The sequence below is a fragment of the Homo sapiens genome, chromosome 12 (genome assembly GCF_000001405.40).
Source record: "Homo sapiens chromosome 12, GRCh38.p14 Primary Assembly".
NCBI classification, from domain to species: Eukaryota; Metazoa; Chordata; class Mammalia; order Primates; family Hominidae; genus Homo; species Homo sapiens.
In genome coordinates this window covers 60,445,902-60,464,868 of record NC_000012.12, presented here as the reverse complement: position 1 = coordinate 60,464,868, position 18,967 = coordinate 60,445,902, and the positions used below count along the sequence as shown (strand labels likewise).

The 18,967-nt window shown below is 32.9% G+C and overlaps 1 annotated feature.

The window, feature by feature from the left end:
• Positions 13,107-13,401: an enhancer, noted in NCBI's record as "tiled region #11134; HepG2 Activating DNase matched - State 9:DNaseU". NCBI's record gives its function as "activates a minimal TATA promoter and a strong SV40 promoter by Sharpr-MPRA in HepG2 cells {active_cell/tissue: HepG2}" and the evidence as "EXISTENCE:reporter gene assay evidence [ECO:0000049][PMID:27701403]".

The following is an 18,967-nucleotide window of genomic DNA, read 5'->3' as shown; positions in this document are numbered from 1 at the left end:
ACAAATGGTGTTTCAGAGTAGAATTTAAAGCAAAGTAAGGTAATATTTACTCAAATAATGAGTTTTTTAAATGGGTTAACTAAACACTACTGCAAAACCTACAGAAACTTTCTAAAGTTTCACAGGGAATGTCAGCCTATTGATGATCACTAAATTAATTTGTCTACTTTATGCCTCAACTTGAATTGTTCAATTAAATAATTAGAGTGAATGAGCCAGAATCTGGTCAATAATGAGGTATTGAAGGTTAGACGTGATGCCTAGAGGAGTGGCTTTCCCTGACATCATTTCCAATATCCACTGAAAATGTAGCTTTGTTTAAGTACTAGAAGCTGCTCCCTGCAATCAATGAACTAAGTGATGAAACTGTCACAAGTTTTAAAAGATCCATAATCATATCAGAAGCAATTACACTATCCTAATGACTTGTTCCAACCAATTGCTCCCCCTAGTAAGTGAATTTTAGGACCTTGGAAGAAAAAACAGATTCATATATGTGTATTTTGCATTGGTTAATTTGTTTTATGCTAGGTGAAGGGAACAGTGAAGAAAATTCATCATTCTCTGGACATATGGGTGACGCATATCAATGAAAACAAATGTGACATTAGTGCTAAGACCAAACAAACAAACAGAACTGTCTCAATAAATGTGTGCTCTTTAAAAATACTGTGATTCTGGTTTTTGTATGCCTCCAAAAAAGTTGCTTTGCAAACTGTTTCTCTTTTTGGGTAATTTCACTCTTACCTCTCATCAAAGGATATTTGCATTATAAGTACACTCTATAATTATATAAGGATGGGTTTGCATCCTAATCACTAAGAGAGATATATTGTTGACTCCCTGAATATAATTATGTAGAAACATAGCTTAAGAATGGGACAAGCTTCTTAATAGAATTGTAAGTAGCACAAAGTATTTGGGATGGGGTTAAATGAGTGAGTCATGGATGGAGCACTTCCATAACTCACTCATTCTTAGGAGAACTCATATGTAGGTTAAGAATAAATAAAATTATGCTTTCAATATCAACTATTTAAACACAAAAATGTTTTTGTTTAATATAAACTATATAACTACATGTTCAACCTTACATGCCATTTTGGAAATTTAACAGAGATTTAGATGTTATTTTTATTTTTAACTTTTTTTGAGACAGGATCTCACTTTATCAGCCATGCTGGAGTGCAGTGGTGCAATCATGGCTCACTTCAGTGTTGACCTCCTGGGCTCAAGTGATCCTCCTGCCTTAGCTTTCCAAGTATCTGGGAATACAGGTGCGTGCCACTATACCTGGTTAATTTTAAAAGGTTTGTAGAGATGAGGTCTCAGTATGTTACCCAGGCCAATTCAAACTCCTGAACTCAAGTGATTCTCCCACCTTAGCATCTCAAAGTTTTGGGGTTATAGGCATGAGCTACCATGCCTGGCCACATTTAGATATTATTAATCAAATATTTAATTAGAATAAAAAGTCTCAAGACTTAAGGAGAAGTGTCCAAGTTAAAAAAAAAAAAAAGACCATCATACTCGATTGTCTAAATCTTTTTTAGGCTCTATTGATTTTCTCCATAATTATTCAGAAATGGATTCATTTCTCCTTGAAACATTATTTTTTTCTAAAATAATAAGCACTGGTCAATTGCTAGATCCTAAGAAAATAATTTTTTAAAAATGAAACATGCCTAACCTTATTGAGGTTTCATAAACAAGTAAAATGTTCAGTATTATTTTAAATAGTTTTGAATTCAGTAAGAGTACATATCACAGAGTGAGGGGTACAGAATTTCGATGAGGATGTGTACTGTTTTAGTTATGTTATGGATCAAATATTTGTGTCCCAAAATTTCAAACATTGATACCTCCAATATTGCTCTATTTGGAGATGGTGCCTCAAAGGAAGTAATTACAGTTAAATGACATCATAAGGATGAATCCTTGATCTGAAAAGATTAGTGCTTTTACAGAAGAGACACAAGACAGGTTGTTCCCTCTCTCTCAGCACACACACACTGGCTATATGAAGACGCAGTGAGAAGACAGCTGTCTGAAAACCAGAAAGAGAGCTCTCACCACAAACAAAATTTGCCATGATCTTGAACTTTGACTTCCCAGACTCTAAAACTGTGAAAAATGAATTTGTCCCATGTAAGCCACCCAGCTTTTAGTATTCTGTTATAGCATCCTGAGCAGACTAAGACAAGTGATAAAGAAGACTTTTCTCTGAAGTTCACACTAGGTATGTTTCTCAAATGAGCTAAGATATAAATAATGTAAAGAAATGAACCGGTTAGGACATGGAGCACTTGAGAAGAATTTCATGGAAAGAAAACAGTAACAGTAAAATTCTAAAGTGTGAATCCGATTAATATAATTGACAAAGATCAAGAAGCCCCATCTAGCTCATCTGGAATATTATAGGCTGAATACACCATGGTTGAAAATCAGAGAAGTTGGCAGAGATCAGATCATGTAAGGCCTTCTAAAGCAATTACCAGAATTTGGGATTTTAGTTCAAGAATGTTTTGAAGTGTTTAAAATATTTTGAGCAAAATAAAGGTGTACTCTGATTTCTATTTTAGAAAGTCAATGTAACAGTCATATGATTAATAGGCATGGGTGGATTCAAAGAGGTTAATACAGGAAATTCTGAAACATTTCACATGCTACCTTAGATAAATACTTCATTTTGCTAAATGGCAGATAAGACAATAAAATCTCACTTAAACAGGATGTTGAGATGTGTGGGAGCGATAGCAGTGATGCTCCAAATTAACGAGAAACTCTTCTAGTATCTTTTAAAAAAATTGAAAGCACCAACTTTAATAAATAATTTGTGATCAGTTCAGATCTGTGTCCAGTCTTAGGGCAGAAGGTAGAGAAAAAAATGTGAAATATTTATCATATATATCCATATAATCTCTATCTATCTATACACAAAGATATATATAAAAATATATGTATTTTTACAATTACAGTAAAAATATGTATGGATATATATAGAGATCAATAAATTACACAATTATATATTCTGTATATGAAGATGCCCATAAGAAGAAGTCACATGGTATTATGACTTGGATAATATGACTCTAAAAGATACCTTAGGTTCTTGCAGTATAATTATAAGTTTATGCCTTAGAAATAGTAGAGAGAAAAGAAAAAAACTAAGTTCTGAACTTTTTAGAAATAGCATCAGGACATGAAAAAGCCAATAGCAGATAGAAAGAGAGAGGATGAAAATTTTGAATAGTGAAAAGTTAAACCGAATTACATTATTTAATAAGATGTGATTTCTAAAAGTATCAGTTTATGAATGAAGAAAAAAGAATAACCACCAGCTTTCTGAAATTCATTTGAGGATGATGAGATGGCTATAGACCTATAAGATAAGAAGATCCATATTCATTTTGAAGTCTATTGGTAATGGGAAATAGGTAATGACATGATTAAACAATGAAAAATATCTTGTATAATTGAATATAGATTTAATTTTTCAATGGAAAAGGAAGACAGATGGCATTATTAAAACAGTTTCAAAAATAAGTAGCTTTTCCAAATAAGGATGTATTTTAGACAGAGAAATAAAGAAAGTTCTCTGCAAAAGGAAGCTAGAGAAAGTTGTTCAGACAATACAAGCAGAAATGCTTGGCAGAAACTCTTAGTGTACTGTAAAACCTTGATTGTCTTATAGGGAGGATTGCTTGCAACAATAACCTTCCTTTTTGTACCTTTTAAGAGTAGATGACAGACAATTTGTCCTTGAAATGTTCCTATATTTTTTCTAAGAGGCTAAGATATGCTGCAGTAACTAACCTGACATCTCAATGCCCTACATAACCAACTATCTCACTTAAAGTATAGACCAGTGCAAGGACCCTACCCTACATAAGCACCTAGGGATCCAGACTTGTGGAGGCTCCACAAATATGTTACTGTACCATCTAAAATGCAAGGTATATTATATTTAAAATATATTGTGGAGTTAAATATTTTAAGCACTTATAAATATTCATGGAAATAAGTTGTATGAGAGAACAATCTACTGTTCCAATAATTATCTTCTTTGTACACTTTAAGAGAGACCAGGTCATGAATATTTTAGACATTAGATGGAAAGTGGCAACCTGATGCTGACTATCTTCTTCCTTAAGCTGGTAAGGTAATCAGTTGATAATGTAGTTTTCTATCTTGTAGAAGACATTGTTGGCTGGATGCATTGGCTCATGCCTGCAATCGTAGCACTTTGGCAGGCTGAAGTAGATGAATCCCTTGAGCCTAGGAGTTCAACACCAGCCTGGGCAACACGGGTCCATCTCTACTAAAACTACTCCATCTCAAAAAAAAAAAAAAAAAAAGACATTTTTGGTACTGGGGTCCTCTCATAGAGATGGATGCAGACCTTCAGACCTCTCTGGATTTTGCCACTCACACAGTTGGTATGGAGTAATTAACAATGAACTTGGTACTATACAAAAAAGAAAATGCATAAGCTAATCAATATTCATAGCCAATATTAAGTAAAACCTATGTCACCTGCGGCATTGTTCTGAGAAACATACTTTTGCAAAATAGGTCATTGAGATGTTTGCTGACATTGAAGGAGTTTACAAATAGAAACAATATTTCTATAGAACTGACTAAACAATTCTTCATTAGCTCTATACCATGTCTTCAGGTGACTCTATTCAGGAGATAGAAACATTTATTCAAGGAAGTTTAAACCCATTTCTTGAGTTGATAACAGGGAAAGCTAGAATTCAGGGGAAAGAATCTTTCAAGTATGTTTTTACTAATACATTTATATATATTAAACATATTTAAAGAAATGCACCAGGATAAAAACAGTACATATAGTTATTAACCACTGCATATCCTATGCAAAAAGTTGTTGATACTACCTCACATGGTATACAAAATTATTGTATCCTAAAACTGAAAGTAAGATTTAAAACTAAAATTTGTGGAAGAAAACATAGGCATATTTCTATGCAACAATGGATTACTTTTTCTTTAGGTACGATACCAAAAGTACAAGCTACAAAAATGAACATCTTCAATATTTTTAAAAAATGTATTTCAAAAGATACCATCAATAAAGTGGATCAGGTGTGGTGGCTCACACCTGTAATTCTAGTACTTTGGGAGGCCAAGGTAGGAGGATTGCATGAGGCCACAAGGTCAGGGCTACAGTGAGCTATAATTGCACCCCAGCACTCCAGCCTGGGAAGCAAAGCAAAACCCTGTTTCAAACAAATAAAAAGTGAAAAATCATATATCTGATAAAGACTTTGTATCTAGACTATGAAGAAATATTACAACTCAATTATATAAAGAAAAGTAATGCAATTAAAAATGAACACGGAGATGAATTTACGTTTCTCCAAATAAAGATATATAACGTCTTCTAATAATAAAAAATGCTATCTTTAGACATCAGAGAAAAGCAAGTCAAAACCACAGTGACATACCACCTTACACCCATTTGGATGACTACAGTCAAAAAGGCAGATGTTAACAAGTGTTGGTAAGAATATTTACAACTTGATCCTTTTCATCCACTACTGGTGTGAATGTGAAATTGTGCAGCTGTTTTGGCCCTCAAAATGATAAACATATAGTTATCATATGACCCAGCAAGTCAACTCCTACAGACATAATCAAGAAAAATGAAAGCCTATGTTCACGCAAAAATTTGTATGTAAATGTTCATAGCAGTATATTCATAATGGCCAAAAAGTGGAAACAACCCAAAAGTCCATCAACTGAAAAATAGAAAAATAAAATGGGATATATCTATAAAGGAGATATATCCATACAATGGAATATTATGTAGCAAAAGCCAGTTAAGTCCTGATCCAGGCTACTACACGGATGAACCTGTAAAATATTATCTTATGTAAGAAGGACAGTTTCAGGGGATCACATATTATATATATTTATATAAAGTGTCTAGAATAAGCTAATACATAGAGACAAAAAGGAGCTTGATGGTAACTTAAAGCTGTGGTTACAGCAATGGGAGAGAAAGAGAAATGACTACAGGTCTCCTTTTAGGGTTACAAAATGTTCCGAAATTTATTTTCTGATTGTTATACAACTCTGACTAATCTAATCATTGAATTGTATTATTTCATGCTATATGATGTATATCTCTAAAGCTGTTATACAAACAAATATATGCGGTACAGGAAAACATAAAAAAAGAGGTAAGTGGAATTAAATAGGCAGTCATGTGTGCTGGTATAATGTGTGTCTTATCCTTACGCTTGTATATCCTTTAACCTTATTTATATGTTACTATATTTTTTTCTTACTAGAAATAGAAAAGATTTTCTTATGTATATGAGAGTTATGCCTCTGTTATTGTGGAATATATCATATATTTACCTCTTAATTTTTTGCTTGAGAGCTTGGGCCCTCGGGGAAACACAGGGCTTGGAGGTCAGAATAGCACACCATCTCTGTTCAGCTTCAGGGATTGGTTACCTAGGCTTATTTGGAAAGAAGTCACTATTAAACTGTTTCATAAAAGTGCCTGAGGGCCAAAGATGAAGACAGTCCTAATTATAAATTTAATTATAATGAAGAAAGTAGGTATTAATACATGGTTTAATAAAGAAACACACATAAAAGTTAGTCAGGTAGAGGATGAATCAAAGCAAACACAAACAAAATACAGTACAGATACCTACATTAAAATCTAGGTGTAGAAGAACTTATCTCTCAGTAAGTCATGTTTATGCTAAGACCTAAGAAATTATCTAGAATACATTTTGAATTAGTTTTTATATGTAGTACAAGATATTAATTGAGGATTATTATACTGCATGTTTTATTTGAGTACAAATGCCTAATTTTTTAGTCTATTAAATTGACTTTGTGTCTTTATCTAAAATCATTTATCTCTATATGTGTTAGATTATTCCTAACCCTCTATTGTATTTCATTTGGCTATATTTTCATCTTTTCCCGGAATTCACACTCTTTTGATCACTATTGCTTTACAGTAGGTCTTTATTTCAGATAATGGAGGTTTTCCTTTTTTTTTTTTCATTTTCAACGTTCTATCCCTGTTAAAATTTTTTGAGTTTCTATAAAATTTAGAATCAGTTTGTCAATTATACAAAAAAAATACTGAGATTTAGATTGGAATTGCATTGAATCAATAGGTCAGATGGGGTGAATTGATGGGTTTTATGTTTATTTAATTTTATTTTTAATAATTATTGACACATAATAGTTATATTTATGGGGTATATATGATATTTTGATACAAGCATTTAGTGTACAATTATCAAATCAGAGTGACTGGGATATACATCACCTCAAGCATTTATCATTTCTTTATATTAAGAACATTTCAACTTTACTTTTAGTAATTTTCAAATAAACAGCAAGTTATTAACTGAGTCACCCTATTGGGCTACTGAACACTAGATTTTATTCCTTTTACTTGACTGAATTTTTGTACAGAATTAATGTTTTAACAATAGAAAAACACAGTGTGACTCTCCAATTAGTTAGATCTTGGATTCCTTTAACCTCTGTTTTGTGTTTTTAGGATGTAGAACTTTTATTTTGTTAGATTTAAACATAAATAATTATTGTTTTGGATACTATTGCATACACTATTTTTTATTTCATAATTTTAGTTACCAACTGTTCATTACTAGTCTGTAGAAATCTGACAGAGTTTTGTAATTGGCTTTGCATTTTGTGACTTTATATACTTATCACTTCTAGTACATTTTAAAAATATTATTTTAAAATATTATATGTAAAAAGTTTTCTTTTTCAATTTTCAATCTGTATGCATCCTTTTTTTGTCTTACTGAATTTGCAAGAACCTCAGTGAAATGTTGGATAGACCTAGTAAAATAATGAAATATAGCTTTGTTTCTGATTTTTAGGTAAAATTAATAGTTGTTTGAAATAGGTTTTTTTGGCAGATTTTCTCTCAGATCGGTTTTATTTTTAATTTTCTGAAATAATTTAGCATAAATAAATGCCATATTTTATTACTTTTTATTTTACATCTATTAAAATATGGTTTTTGTTTTTTTCTGTTAATATGCTGAATTACAATGATGGAATTTTGAATGTTGATCCAACTTTGAATTTTCTGAAAAAAGTCCTACTTGGTCTAATATATAGTTTACATATTGAATTTTCTAAAAAAATCCTACTTGGACTTCTTATTCATTTTATAATTATTTTCAAGAAGAGCATTGGTCAGTAGTTTCCTTTTTATAATGTCTTTCTTGATTTTAGAATCATGATAATACTGGCTTTCGAATATCAGTTGGGAAGTGTTATTACATCCACTTCGGTATTCTGAAAAAGTTTTGTGAGGAATTGGTATATATATATATATATATATATATATATATATATATATATATATATATTTTTTTTTTTTTTTTTTTTTTTTTTTTTTTGAGATGGCGTCTCGCTCTGTCGCCCAGGCTGGAGTGCAATGGTGCCTTCTCGGCTCACTGCAAGCTCCATCTCCTGGGTTCATGCCATTCTCCTGCCTCAGCCTCCCAAGTAGCTGGGACAACAGGCGCCCGCCACCACGCTCGGCTAATTTTTTGTATTTTTTAGTAGAGACGGGGTTTCACCGTGTTAGCCAGGATGGTCTCGATCTCCTGACCTCGTGATCCGCCCACCTCAGCCTCCCAAAGTGTTGGGATTACAGGCGTGAGCCACTGCGCCCGGCCAATTTTTTTTTTTTCTTAAGTGAGACAAGGCAGGCTGTTCCTTCCACGTGTCTTTTGCATCTCTTCCAAGTTGTAAAATTCACAGGCATAGAGCCATTTTAAGTATTTTAGTATATAGTTCTTTAATAGTAAATTATTATTTTAATGTTTGTAGGTGATATAGTTTTGCTCTGTGTCTCCACCCAAATCTCATTGCAAATTGAAATCCCACATGTCAAGAAAGAGACCCAATGGTTGGTGATTGGATCACAGGGGCAGTTTTCCCCATGCTGTTCTCGTAATAGTGAGTGAGTTCTCATGACAGCTGATGGTTTTTAAAAAGTGTGACACTTCCTTGCTCTCTCACCTGCCACCCTGTACGACATGCCTTCTTCCCCTTCTGCCACGATTGTAACTTTCCTGAGGCCTTCCCAGCCATGCAGAACTGTAAGTGAAACTTCCTTTCTTTATAAATTACCCAGTCCCAGGTAGTATCCTTACAGCAGTGTAAAAACAGATTAATATAGATAATTGCTACCAGGATTTGGGTACTGCTATAAAAATAACCGAAAATGTGAAATTGACTTTAGAACTGGGTAACAGGCAGAGTTTGGAACAGTTTGGAGGTCTCAGAAGAAGACAGGCAGATGTGCAAATGTTTGGAAACTTCTAGAGACTTATTGAATGGTTTTTACCAAAACGTTGTGTGCCTGAGCCTCAGGACTGAATATTTCTCAGCATTTCTGCTGATAGTTTCTGGGACAGCAATACTCTGCCATTTATTTCGGTGTGTTTATGTAAGATGAAAGTTCTTGTCCATTTACCAGCAATAGAGACTTCTGATGGTATGAGCATATAATCCTGGCCAAAGCCCCTTTTCTATTTCTCCCTAATACATAGTATTATTTTCCTGCTATGCTTCCCTAGTTTCAATGTCTTTACCTGTGGTCCGTGAGTGCTCTTTTCTTAGTTAAGCTTGACTCTTTCTGTAAGAGGGAAGGTCTGAGCCTTTTCCTACCCCACTGAGGGGTCCTGTCTCCATTTTCTTAACGTAGCCAGTCTTTCTCATGAGGCTTTGGTGGAGGTCCAGGGAAATGAGTCTTGAGTGACAACAACTCCTCCATGTTTGGAAGTCCCAAGGGTTCTTTATTTTAGCCTGCACTCAGTATTTAGCAATTCATGACATTGTTAGCTACTTTGTTCTTAGCTATTTCCAAATTGTCAATACTTCTTCATATGCTCTCTTCAGCAACTCTCTCCTTCCTTGGAATTCAGGCTACTTGATTACCCTCCCACTTCAGCTATCTGAGCTCTGTAATGATTCAGAAGAGTCACCGGTTAGTAGTTAACCCTGGAGTCCTCTGCTTATTGAGGTGGGAGTTGCACTCTGCAGCTTCCTATACCCTAGATACAAACCTCCTTCAATTTTTGAGAGTTGCAATGTATCTACATTTTTGAAGCAAATTGTCACTATATACTACACTTTTATTTTGGGATGATACTTTTGTCTTAGTTCTACATATAATATGTAGAAATATACCAGGATTTATACTAATGCTTTTCTACTAATTTTGAATATTTGAAATTTTCTTTCTAGCAGATGCCTCAGGAAAAGCTCATGGAAAATATTTTTATTTTCAAAGTTATTTTGCAATTTAAAAAAACAGTTATATTCTATCTTTATAAAGAAAAAGCAGTTTGGTTGGCTATAATGTCTTTGGTTCATACTTTTTATCCTTTATATATCTCTAATAGGACCTATATTGTCTTTTGATATAAAAATTTCTGTCTAAAATTCATATTTCAATCTTATTTCATTTCTATTGATGTTAATTTTGGTCTTTTTGTCTAGATGATGAAAGGCTTTTTTTCTAACAATTGTATTACTTTCTCTGTTTTGATCAATCTCACATATTTCTTGATATTCATCTCTCTCGTTTGTATTTATACACATATATATTTATAATGATATTTTTCTTTAAGGTTTATTTTCTACATTGTTGCTTCTGTTTGTTTTACTAGGGATTCCTATTATGCACATGCTTAATTCTCTTTGCCTTTTGTCCTTTTCTCACAAATTATTTATCACCTGTTCATTTTTAAAATAATTTTATTTTCTCATATTATGTATTGTTTTGTTCATATGTATATCTGTGTCTCTTGTGTTTTAGTATGAATGAGAAGTGATTTTTTAAAATTATTTTCTTTTAAAAAATCTATTTAAATAAATTTGGGATCTTGCTATGTTGCCCAGGCTGGTCTCAAACTCCTGGCCTCAAGCAATTATCCCACCAAGGCCTTCCAAAGTGCTGAGATTGCAGATGTGATTCCCATGCCTGGATTTTTTTTAAATTTTTATTTTCTTTAGTAATATAACTCATTTTTTAATATTTTTAGTTTTAATGTATGTTGATCTTTGATATAGTGTATGACTTTCTTAACTTATTTTGGTGTGCTTAGAATATTAGGTTACAGTTTTATCTATTTTGTGGGCATTTTTAACTATATGCTTATAATTTTGGTAGGATATTATACTAATTTTTTTTAATTCAACCATGTGTCTCTGTGTGTGTGTGTGTGTTAATTCAACCATGTGTCTATGTGTGTGTATATATGTATATATATGTACAACCATGTGTCTGTGTGTGTATATATGTGTATATATGCATATATGTATGTATATATGTATATGTATATATGTATGTATATGTATATGTATATATGTATATGTATATGCATATATGTACGTATATGTATGTGTATATATGTGTATATGTATACATTTGTGTATATATGTGTGTATATATATATATACACACACACACACACACAATTTTCTTTATCCTTCAATCTGTCAATAGACCTTTGTGTTGTTTCCATATCTTGGCTATTATGAATAATCCTGCAATGAACATGAGAGTTCATTGGCTATTATGAATAATCCTGCAATGAACATAAGAGTACAGATACCTCTTCAAGATCCTAATTTCAATTGTTTTGTATATACACACATAAGTGGGATTGCAGAATTACGTGGTAGTGGAGAAAGGTTTCCATTTCTCCAGATCTTTTCCAATTCTTTGTCTTTTTTTTTTTGATAATAGCTATTCCAACATATGTGAGATAGTCTGTCATTGTGGTTTTGACTTGCATTTCCCTGATAATTAGTGATGTTGAGTAGCCATTTCTCCAAAGAAGAAATACAAATAGCCAACAGGTACACCTGAAGCCACTGCACATACTCATTGCATTTAGAGTCAGGGAGGCTGGTGGTTTACGTTTTTTTTTTTTTTTAACAACACACAGTAGAGAGAAATTTTCACTATTTTATATAGATGTAAAGAGGTACTGAGATAGCCAGGGCAACAGTTCAAGCTATAATGTTTGAGGGACATTGCTTTAATTTATGACAGTGTTGCTTATTCAAGCCGTGATATCATGAGGCAGCAGAATATAAAGATTAAGGAAAAATGCTCAACAGACAAAGAATCTTGATTGGAATCCTCAATTCTGACATTGGTCTATTGCCCACCTTCTATGTACTGAGAGTTGTTCATGTGTAGATGAGGATAATAATTAAAACCACATGCAGTAATATGAGGAGTAAATGATTAATACATCTATGATGCTTAGGATACTTCTAGGAATTTTGTACACATTTAATAAATGTAAGGAATAACTATGTAGAGAATAGGATGACAGCAAGATGATCTAGGCAGAAGTGACTTTTTGCTGCCAAGCTGATGGTTATATGAAGATCCAGGAAGGTTTATAAAGGGCAAGTCTGTATCAGAAGCAATGACTGAGAGTTAAGTTAAATAGGGAGAAAAATATGAGTCATGGGAGGAGCCAGGTCCCAGTTATTTCTTGCTATGGTTTGAATGTTCCCTCCACAACTCATGTCAAAGTTTAATTGCTATTGTGATGATATTAAGAGATGAGACCTTTAAGAGGTGATTAGAATTTGAGAGCTTTGCCCATGTGAATAGGTGAATGCTGTTATTGTGGGAATTGGTTAGTTATCATGTGAATGGAACCCTGATAAATGGATGACATTTGGTCTTCATTTTTCCTCTGTCTCAAATGCTTGCTTGCCCTTCCACCATGGGGTGTTACACCGTGAAGGCCTCCTACCAGATGCCAGTGCCAGGCTCTTGAACTTCTCAGCCTGTATAACCATGAGCTAAATAAACTTTTTTCTTTTTTTGTAATAAATTACCCTATCTGAGGTGTTCTGTTATAGCAACAGAAAATGAGCTAAGACATTTGTGGTTTTAAAATATTAGAGTTACAGTATTTCTGCTTTCCTCTCCTTTTGGAAATCTGCTGTAAGAAATTTTTTTAAAAAAGTACAAGTTAGAAAAAATTATAGACATCTGTAACCTTGAAACAAAATATATGAGATAAAATAAGCTCCAAATGGGGTGATTGAAGTCATCACCTACAGATAGTAAAACATCTAACTGTAAAACATAGTTCTTTAAAGGAGAACTTTGCTCTCTGAGTAATAAAGCAAACAGTCCCTTACCTGGGTCAATTATTGGCACTGTGAACTTTTCTGGACATGTTTGTCATCACAAATTAATGTGAGAGAAAATTTTGAGCTAAGAATGCCAAAAATTGCCATGTTTATGGAAAAACTTTTGTTTATGAGACAAGTTGAAGAGAGAGAGTCTCAATTTCAAACAGTTCTGAAGGAGTTAATATATATATACTTGTAGGAATAATTTTTTTTAAAGGAAGTAACATTTAGCAGTGGACAGTCACTACCTTAACCAAATTATTAAACTTAACATCACTATAAATGGATCAAACTGACATTATGTACTTGGCAATATGAAACAATAGAAAGTAAATAATATAATCAATACAGTATTCCTAATAAAAGTTTAAATTTGAACCTAATAATGAAAAAAATTATCAGACAAATTAGAATTGTATAACAATTTGTAAGAAAACTGACATGGAATATTGAACAATGTCAAGTTAATAAAAGACAAAAGCCCCAGAGAACTTTTCTGAGTTAAAGGAGATTAAAAGAACATAACAAAATGCAACCCATGATGAGTCACTGGATCCTGGACAAAAAGATAAAAAAAAAAAAAGCTGTGCCATTTTGAGAAAAATTGGAGAAATTTGAATATTGAGTAGAGGGTAATAGTAGTATATTAATATTAAATCTCTTAGGTGTGATAATGGTATTTGAGTTATATTTTTAAAATCCTGAAATATGTAGTGTGAAATGCAATGATATCTGTGAAATTTTTCTGTATTTTGGCAAATATTGTCAACTGTGTGGGGGTGTGTGTGTGTGTGTGTGTGTGTGTGTGTGTGTGTGTATGTATATTTGCTGCTAAAACAAAATCTAAGACTGAGTAATTTATAAATAACAGGAATTTGTTTCTCACAGTTCTGGAGACTGAGAAGTCTAAGATCAAAGGCCCACAAATTTGGCACCCGGTGAGGGCCAAGTCCCTCTGCTTCCAAGATGGCACCTGGTACCATCCTCTGGAGAGAATAAATGCTGTATCCTCAACTAGCAGAAGGAAAAAGGGCAAAAAGGGCTGAATACTGTGTGAAACGTCTTTTATAAGGGCCTTCATCCCATTCACAAGGGAGGAGCCATTATGACCTAATCACCTCCGAGAGGCCTCATGCTTGGTTCTATTGCATTGGAGATAAAGTTTCAACATGAGTTTTGGATGAACACAAATACTGAAACCATAGTGGGGTGTGTGTGTATCTGTGTGTGTGTGTGTGTGTGTGTGTGTGTGTGTCTCATTCAATTTTGACTATTTTATGTTGATATTTGGCATGGCATTCCATTTCACCTATCCTCACTTCAGTATCATGTTAAGACAGTTGATTCATCATTGAATCTCTCCCATCCATGGTTAGAATCCTTGACTTGGTATCAGTTAAACTTTGAGAAACCTAGATAGATTAATGTGTCATCACAGAATTACCTGATACTTGAGCAACTATAACAAACTGAAAGTTGGGAACAAGACACTGTCTCCTGATTAAAATAAATTTGGACAACAGAAACCTCTTGTGGATGGTCATTTGGCCAAGGAGTGATAAGAAAAATCACCCAAGAAGCTTTATCAATCCAGCCTTCAAAATTTCTTAGGCAAATATTTCAATGCCTTGCCAGTAAACTGTTCATTTTCCAAAAGCCAATAACATTTTATTTGCTTATTTTATTTACTTTTATGTTTTATTTATCAAATACAATTAGCAGTTACTGTGTTAGAGGCCATATTTTTAAAGATTTATAAATATCATAAATATTAACTTAGTTTATCCAACTTTACGACATTATGAAATAGGTACAATTGTTATTCCTATTTTACAGAAGAGAAATTTGAGGCAAAGAGAAGTCAGTTGCCTTGCCCAAGATCACACAGGTAGTTCGGTGACAAAACAGGGACTCTACTTGGTAGGTTGGCACCAGAGTTCATATTATGGACAATGTTACCTTCCAATTTCCTAATTCTCTTAAAACATCTAATAGCATCTCACCACTGACCTTAAAACTTCACTTTCCTTAAGTATGATACTTGAAGTCTTTAATATATATGCTTTACTATTTGTTTCTAATCCTTCTGACACATTACTCATCCTTACCCTCTCTCTTTTTTCATTAGCCTGTATTGTCCTCATCATTCTGATTCATAGGCTTGATTTTACCCTATTGCTATGTGTGTTCAAGTTCAGCTTCTGTTTCCTGAGAACAACCCTTACCTCAAGTCTACTCTTCCCATTAACCCCAGAATGACAAAATTACTGTTTTTCATTACAGGGATGAGGCATAAAATGAGAGTGTATAATAAAACTGCACTGATATTGGACTATAGGAATAAAAATAGTGCCACAGAGTAAATATTTATGCATCCAATTGCTAACTACTATCCATAATCACTTGTGGCCATAATGAAATAGTTCCAGAAATGCTTCTTATTTTCTACTATAAAGTGTTTTCTCATTATCACTCTTCTATTGTTGGTTTTGAAAGTAATGCACCATTAAAAATTTCAAATTTTGTTAAAGTTTTAGCTATTACTAAAATTGGGGTCAACTCTTAAAATACATAGTTGAATACATTGCAGACACCTATTTTGTATCACCTATTTATATCATATTATCCATAATATAAATCAACATTACTCAAAATAATTATTAAAACTCTGGTTTTTTTTATTAGAGGAAACACTATGTGCATTGTGAGGGTATTTATATTCAAATGCAAATTAGACATGATCAGCCTAAAAATTGCTTATAAAACATATTGATTAAAATATATGCCACAGGGCTGGGCGCGGTGGCTCACGCCTGTAATCCCAGCACTTTGGGAGGCCAAGGCAGGCAGATCACCTGAGGTCAGAAGTTTGTAGACCAACCTGACCAACATGGAGAAACCCCGTCTCTACTAAAAATACAAAATTAGCCGGACATGGGGGCTCATGCCTGTAATCCCAGCTACTTGGGAGGCTGAGGCAGGAGAATTGCTTGAACCTGGGGGGCGGAGGTTGCAGTGAGCCGAGATCGTGTCATTGCACTCCAGCCTGGGCAACAAGAGTGAAACTGTCTCAAAAAAAAAAAAAAGTATATATATGCATATATATGAAGTTTTAAGGTAAGCAGTGAGATGCTATTAGATGTTTTAAGAGAATTAGGAAATTGGAAGGTAACATTGTCCATAATATGAACTCTGGTGTCAATCTACCAAGTAGAGTCCCTGTTTTGTCACTTAACTACCTGTGTGATCCTGGGCAAGGCAACTGACTTCTCTATATGCATAAATATATATATACGTTTTAAAAAAGTATATATACACTTTTAAAAAGTCTATATTTCTATGTATATTTTCAATTTTATATATATAAAATGCAGTGTTTTATAGGTATTTTTATAAAATTTGCATTTCAATTAAATTTTTTTATGTCATCACCCTATATGTTTTTTTTTTCTTTTTCAGAAAGCCCTTTGTTTTGTTGTTTCATGTTTTTTATTCTTAAATTGGTCTCAGGGAATCAAACATATTTAAAGTCTATATCTTCCTTATCACGGTAAGATACTCTAGGTTTGGAATTCTTTATTTTATTTTGATGGTCCCGGTAGATAGGGGGCATTTTCTCATGTATATTCTGATCTTGAATTAGTCTATAAACAAGAAACATTTTTTCAACGGTGTGTTTTGTTACATAATAGAGTCAATAACTTAGTGAATGTTGACATCAATAGGTGAAATAACATAGAATATTCAATGATTTCTAGCCAAAATACTCAGCATACTCTCTCTGCTTGTGATCTTTCACACACACACACACACACACACACACACAGACAAGCAAATTAAATATATCTACTCAAACACATAGATTTTGTCAAATATTTAAATTTAGATTTTTCTTTCTATGAGAAAAGAGAATAAAGTGGAATGATGAAACTATAAAAATAATTTAAGCCTCCTTCAAAATGCATTATAAATTCTAAGTATTTCAATCTATAATTTCTTTAAAAATAACTCAGCTTCTGGGAAAAAATAGGATGGCATAACTTTCTTCTGTGAAAATTTTTTTAACTTAATTAGATGTAAACATTACTTTTAAGAAGGTATATATAAAAAAGTTATATGTGTAGATATTTATTGTAGCATAATAGTTATAAAATATATCATAAATTCCAGTCAATAAATCCCAGAAAAATAAGATCTACCTAATAGATTCCATTTGGCTAAGTCTTGAAAGTAGCAATTATATTACCATTTTAAAAATGCATGCTTTATTTTCAGACTTGGAATAATTAACATAAAATATTTTACTCTCCCAAGTTTTTAGGACATAATTCTGATTAAGCAAGTGTTCTAATACATTTTGGTTACATTGAAGAACAAGAAGAAAACAAATGTCCTGATAATAGCTTCTGATCACCTACCTCCAGCCTTCAGAAGAACATTAAAAAAAAAAAACTCTAGAATCTCTGATGTATTAGACTAATAGATTATGACTATACATCTTTTTTTCTCTCTCTCTTCAGAAATGTTTTTGTCCTACTTTAAACGAACGTGTTTGGCAGAAGGAGATATCTCTACAAAGAGAAAACTGGTATCCTACTTCTTGGCTAGATATTTGCTGAATGAGCAACAGAAAATTGTATGCCACTCAGTGCACCAGAGAGGGAACTTGTGAGAGAAGTCTTTGGAAAAGTCACCATCTGGGCAAGGAAATTGTAAGTCATATATGAACAGAAGAATTAGGAAATGTTGAGGGTAGTGACCCAGTGGAAATTCCTGAAATGGCTGGATGAAGAAAGAAAAACATTAGATAAAATTATAAAACCTATAATTATCATATCAAGAAAGCATCTATCTCTAGTGGGCTACATGTGCATCCAGAAAAGGAGCTTGGCTTTGGCCATTTTGATTGGAAACTAATTGAGGCAGTTCCTTGGAAGAGAGTAATAGAAACAGGAAGAAGTTGCAGAATGTGTTACTTTAGGAACAGTTGTGGGGAGAGCAGACAAGAGCAGAAGAGGTGGTTCAAAGAAGTTAGTCAGAAAACTGGGTTTCCTCAATCAATTTATTACCATTAGATCATATCCTTTTTGTCCAATTACATGTCTAGGTCTATCCATTCTTCATTGTTTAAAAGCATAAAAATAGACAGTTTTCCTTGAGTCTTTGGGTCTGCATTTCTGAAGGCTTCCATGTGACATGAAACCTTGATTAAATTTCTGATATTTTTATCTTGTTAGCCTGTCTTTTGTTATAGTTGTGTTGGCTATGATCCTTATGCTGGGTAAGGAAAGGTACTAAACCTTACAATTTCCACAGATGCCAAATATATGTGTATGTGTGTGTGTGTGTGTATATATATATATATGTATATATATATTTCATATACATTTATGTATATCATATATAGCATATATTTATATATAAATATAAATATATATATATATATATATATACACATGTATGATTGTGTTTGTGCATGAGTGCTTGTACCTTTTTCCCAAGTAATCTGATTATATTATTACACTCTAGGACATACTGAAATTCCCCCACTTTAAGAATTAGTTTGACTTCACTAATCATACATTTATATTAAGGGCCTCAAATATTCTGATTTAAAATGATAGACTTTTTTGTGATTATCAGCAAAATTACATCAATTTAATAGAAAATGAAGAACTAAAACACGTTACCATAGCCAAAATAATCTGAACATTTTATACTTCTACAAATCTAGATGTCTATT